This window comes from Homo sapiens, chromosome 15, assembly GCF_000001405.40.
Source record: "Homo sapiens chromosome 15, GRCh38.p14 Primary Assembly".
Taxonomy (NCBI): Eukaryota; Metazoa; Chordata; class Mammalia; order Primates; family Hominidae; genus Homo; species Homo sapiens.
Window position 1 is genome coordinate 78380012 of NC_000015.10, and position 4389 is coordinate 78384400.

The following is a 4389-nucleotide window of genomic DNA, read 5'->3' on the forward strand; positions in this document are numbered from 1 at the left end:
TTATTTTGCTCATTAGTTGATGCAGTTTCTTCCTAGCATCGATGGTCTTTACAATTTGGCATGTTTTTACAGTGGCTGGTACCAGTTATTCCTTTCCATGTTTAGTGCTTCCTTCAGGAGCTCTTGTAAGGCAGGCCTGCTGGTGACAAAATCTCTCAGCATTTGTTTGTCTGTAAAGGATTTTATTTCTCCACTTATGAAGCTTAGTTTGGCTGGATATGAAATTCTGGGTTGAAAATTCTTTTCTTTAAGAATGTTGAATATTGGCTCCCACTCTCTTCTGGCTTGTAGAGTTTCTGCCAAGATATCTGCTGTTAGTCTGACGGGCTTCCCTTTGTGGGTAACCTGACCTTTCTCTCTGGCTGCCCTTAACATTTTTTCCTTCATTTCAACTCTGGTGAATCTGACAATTATGTGTGTTGGAGTTGCTCTTATCTTTGTGGCATTCTCTGTATTTCCTGAATTTGAATGGTGGCCTGCCTTGCTAGGTTGGGGAAGTTCTCCTGGATAATATCCTGAAGAATGTTTTCCAACTTGGTTCCATTCTCCCCTTCACTTTCAGGTACACCAATCAGATGTAGATTTGGTTTTTTCACATAGTCCCATATTTCTTGGAGGCTTTGTTCATTTCTTTTTACTCTTTTTTCTCTAAACTTCTCTTCTCACTTCATTTCATTCATTTGATCTTCAATCACTGATACCCTTTCTTCCACTTGATCAAATCGGCTACTGAAGTTTGTGCATGCGTCATGTAGTTCTCATGCCATGGTTTTCAGCTCCATCAGGTCATTTAAAGTCTTCTCTATGCTGTTCACTCTAGTTAGCCATTCATCTAATCTTTTTTCAAGGTTTTTAGCTTCTTTGCGATGGGTTCGAACATCCTCCTTTAGCTCGGAGAAGTTTGTTATTACCGATCATCTGAAGTCTTTTTCTCTCTACCCATCGAAATCATTCTCCATCCAGCTTTGTTCTGTTGCTGGCAAGGAGCTGTGTTCCTTTGGAGGAGAAGAGGCACTCTGATTTTTAGAATTTTCAGCTTTTCTGCTCTGGTTTCTCCCCATCTTTGTGGTTTTATCTACCTTTGGTCTTTGATGGTGGTGACGTACAGATGGGGTTTTGGTGTGGATGTCCTTTCTGTTTGTTAGTTTTCCTTCTAACAGACAGGACCCTCAGCTGCAGGTCTGTTGGAGTTTGCTGGAGGTCCACTCCAGACCCTGTTTGCTGGGTATCACCAGCGGAGGCTGCAGAACAGCAAATATTGCAGAACGGCAAATGTTGCTGCCTGATCCTTCCTCTGGAAGCCTCGTCTCAGAGGGGCTCCCAGCTGTATGAGGTGTCAGTCGGGCCCTACTGGGAGGTGTCTCCCAGTTAGGCTACTCGGGGGTCAGGGACCCACTTGGGGAGGCAGTCTGTCCGTTTTCAGATCTCAAACTGCATGCTGGGAGAATCACTACTCTCTTCAAAGTTGTCAGACAGGGACGTTTAAGTCTGCAGTAGTTTCTGCTGCCTTTTGTTCAGCTATGCCGTGCCCCAAGAGGTGGAGTCTACAGAGGCAGGCAGGCCTCTTTGAGCTGTGGTGGGCTCCAACCAGTTCGAGCTTCCTGGCCACTTTGTTTACCTACTCAAGCCTCAGCAATGGTGGACGCCCCTCCCCCAGCCTCACTGCCGCCTTGCATTTCGATCTCAGACTGCTGTGCTAGCAGTGAGCGAGGTTCCATGGGCGTGGGACCCTCTGAGCCAAGCACGGGATATGATCTCCTGGTGTGCCGTTTGCTAAGACTGTTGGAAAAGTGCAGTATTAGGGTGGGAGTGTCCTGATTTTCCAGGTACCGTCTGTCACAGCTTCCCTTGGCTAGGAAAGGGAATTCCCCGATCCCTTGCACTTCCCGGGTGAGGCGATGCCCTGCCCTGCTTCGGCTCACGATCGGTGCGCTGCATCCACTGTCCTGCACACACTGTCCTGCACCCACTGTCCGACAAGCCCTAGTGAGATGAACCCAGTACCTCAGTTGGAAATGCAGAAATCACCCGTCTTCTGCGTCGCTCACACTGGGAGCTGTAGACTGGAGCTGTTCCTATTCAGCCATCCTATTTTTTTTTTTTTTTAATTTTTATTTTATCTTTAGAGATGAGGTCTCGCTTTGTTGCCCAGGCTAGTGTCAAACTCCTGGGCTCAAGCGACCCTCCCACCCTGGACTCCCAAAGTGCTGGGACTACAGGAGTGAGCCACCACACCCAGGTTACACTCAGCTGAAGGCCTACTATGTGCTGGGTATAGTGCTGTTGAGGGCAGCGGCTGCCATCATGCGGGCTGCAGCAGGGAGGCTTGGCTGGGGCTGCACACTCCGTGGAGCTGGTGGGAGCTCCCCAGGTGCCACTGCTGCCGCCTGCCCAAACCGGGGCACCTGTAGAATCAGCTAGCTACTCAGGAGGCTGAGGTGGCAGGATGGCTTGAACCCAGGAGGTAGAGGCTGCAGTAAGCTGTGATTTTGCCACTACACTCCAGCCTGGGCAACAGAGTGAGATTTTGTCTCAAAAAAAAAAAAGTAAAGAAAAAAAGAGAAAATCCAGCCAGCTTCACCATTACTGTGACATCTGAGGCTGGAGAAAATGATGAAACTGTCCAGACTACCCTCAAGTTTACAGACAAGGAGAAATACCCAGATAAAGCTTGCCTTTATGAAGTATTCTCAGAAAATCTAGAAGATAATGTCTCAGACATTTAAAAAATCTTAGCATTACAGGCTGAAGAAAATCTTGGTATGGTGATTATCTTTAGTGACAGTTGTGCAAGAAAAATTAAATGAAATAGATCAGATAAAAAAACTAGAAGAGAAGAAAAAAAAAGAAACAAAAAATCCAAATAAGCTGAAAAGCAATTATTCTATGGTATTCCTGTTATAATTGAGAATGTCTTAAACTGGAAGGCTGAGTTTGCTGCAGAAGGCTTGGAAATTAAAAAGAAATGGATGGAAGAGGAACAAGCAGGAAAAAATAAATTAAGTGGGAAACAGCTACTTGAAACAGATCCAAATCTTGACACATCTGATATCCAGTTCTTGGAGGATGCTGGAAACAATGTGCAGGTAATTGAGTCTTTGTTCCAGGAAATGGATGACCTGGAGCCGGGGGATTGAGGAGGATGATCCAGACTCCAAACCTGCTGACCCAGAGAGAGACTCCACTGACCAGAGGACTGTCCCCATCTGCAGAGAAGCTCAACTGCCACAGCATCCTGGCTATGCTCAGAGGGTTTTGATTTTCCTTTCCTTTTCTCCAAGAAGAAATAATTATAAGGAGAATTTTTTTTTTTTTTTTGAGACAGGGTCTCGCTCTGTCACCCAGGCTGGAGTGCAGTGGTGTGATCATAGTTCATTGCAGCCTCAACTTCCCGGGCTCATGTGAGCCTTCCAAGTAGCTGGGACTACAAGTGTGCACCACCACTTCTGGTTAATATCTAAAATTCCTTATAGAGACAAGGTCTCTCTATGGCTGGTCTCAAACTCCTGGTCTCAAACAATCCTCTGACCTCAGCCTCCCAAAATGCTGTTATTACAGGCATGAGCCACCATGCCAAGCTGGGAATATTCTTCTGATAGCTTTCATTGTTGAACTTAATAAACTGACTTAAAATTTCAAATCAGAGAAGAAGAAACAATGTATGAAATGATCACTCTAGGGAATGGTAAGATTTCCTAAAGCAGTTTGAGGTTCGTTTGGCAGTGTTGAGTGCCTAGTTGAGGTTTAGGGTCATAAACTTGAAGTGCGATAGTTGGGGGTGGAGCGTCTCTGGGAAGAAAAAGGTGGAAATACTTCCCTTCTAGTTGGCTAGTTGGGTTCCTCTGCATTTGGAGGCCTGCCTTGATTCTTCTTTGGCTGAGAGGATCTTCAGCTGTGGTCCTTTGGCTCCTTAGATGCTTCTTGGTGGTGAGGGGCCACCAGGGAGTAGGGTAGCATGAGAATACAGGAATGGACAGAGCTGGGACTACCAGGAATTCAGAAGAGCAGCTGGTAGCAACACACCAGATAGCTTTAGGGAGAGATATTGATGATGGGACAAGGGGCTGGGTGAATTTGAGGTGTTGGCCTTGGATATTGGCATTGGGTTGGTGATGATGGAGTGGAGACAATATGATATTGGTATTGGACTGTTGTTGGCTTTAGGGTATTGAGGAGCCAAGGATTGTCATGGATGCTCAGAGCATGGTGCAAACCTGAGGGAGCCCAAGAAGGGCTGCCACCATGAGGGACAACTAAAATAAAGTTGTTGGAAAGATCAGTAGAATGAAGCTCAGCCAAATCTGTAGAGACAGAACAGATCAGTGGCCAGCTAATTTTTTAAAAAAATTTTTTTGTAGAGGCAAGGATCTCACCCCATTGCCCAGGCTG

General features: G+C 46.0%; 1 pseudogene; it reads left to right on the forward strand.

Moving 5' to 3' along the window:
• Nucleotides 2561-3309, forward strand: RWDD1P1 (RWD domain containing 1 pseudogene 1; annotated as a pseudogene).